Source organism: Homo sapiens, chromosome 17 (assembly GCF_000001405.40).
Source record: "Homo sapiens chromosome 17, GRCh38.p14 Primary Assembly".
Classification (NCBI taxonomy): Eukaryota; Metazoa; Chordata; class Mammalia; order Primates; family Hominidae; genus Homo; species Homo sapiens.
The window spans coordinates 41,184,100-41,185,119 of NC_000017.11; the positions used below are offsets into that span (position 1 = coordinate 41,184,100).

At 48.4% G+C, this 1,020-nt stretch overlaps 1 protein-coding gene across 1 annotated transcript; it reads right to left on the bottom strand.

Moving 5' to 3' along the window:
• KRTAP4-1 (keratin associated protein 4-1) lies at positions 1 to 812 on the bottom strand. The gene has a single exon (NM_001386841.1). It carries the CDS (start codon positions 753 to 755, stop codon positions 315 to 317), a length of 441 nt encoding a protein of 146 aa, NP_001373770.1. The 5' UTR covers positions 756 to 812; the 3' UTR covers positions 1 to 314.
• Positions 813 to 1,020: the final 208 nt, after the last annotated feature.

Below are 1,020 nucleotides of genomic sequence, written 5' to 3' on the forward strand. Positions count from 1 at the left end.
TTACTGATATTAAGATAATATTTATTGAAGAACAGTTAATATGTAATTTTGAAGGTCAAATCAAGCATAACAGTCAGAAACTTAGAGGCTTAGTCTAACTGCATCATGCATCTGAGGTCTGAATGCTGCTGGGAAGAGATCCATGGGAAAAATGAGTGGTATTAAATGTAGATGGATGCCCTTTCACCAGTTACTTAGTGGAATAACAGGATAATAAAGCTGATGGCCATTTAACACATGGACAAGTTGATATAAATGACACTTTCATATCATGGGATGGTGACTGGCTCATGGTTGATAGTCCAATATGAGGTTCAACAAGAGGATCCACAGCAGCTGGGGCGGCAGCAAGTTGCACGGCAGCAGGTGGTCTGACAGCAGAGTGGACGGCAGCAGCTGGACACACCACAGCTGGGGCGGCAGGTGGTCTGACAACAGAGTGGACGGCAGCAGCTGGACATACCACAGCTGGGGTGGCAGGTGGTCTGACAGCAGAGTGGGCGGCAGCAGCTGGACACACCACAGCTGGGGCGGCAGGTGGTCTGACAACAGACTGGGTGGCAGCAGCTGGGGCGACAGCAAGTGGTCTGGCAGCAGGTAGTCTGAGAGCAGGATGGGCGGCAGCAGCTGGATACAACACAGCTGGGGCAGCAACAGGTGGTCTGGCAGCAGCTGGGGCGGCAGCAGGTCTCTTGGCAGAGGCCTTGATCACAGCCCTGGTCAGAGCAGACAGAGCCACAACAAGAGTTAACCATGGTGTCAGAGGGTGGAGGTTCTAGGTAGGTTTCCAAGACAGTGAGTTTTTCGAATGTGGGAATCTCCTTATCCCATGTCCACTTTTATACTCAGCTGAGGAGCTGTTGTCACCACATAAAAGCTATTTCCTTGTTATTGTTTATCTTAATAGATAGGCAATTATCAAGTTAGCTAATTGTGGGAAAATATCTGTATAAAAGGTGGAATGCACTTTTATTCTTTCTCTGTGTTAGAGTTTAGCCAATCCAGTCTTTCCTCCTCCTC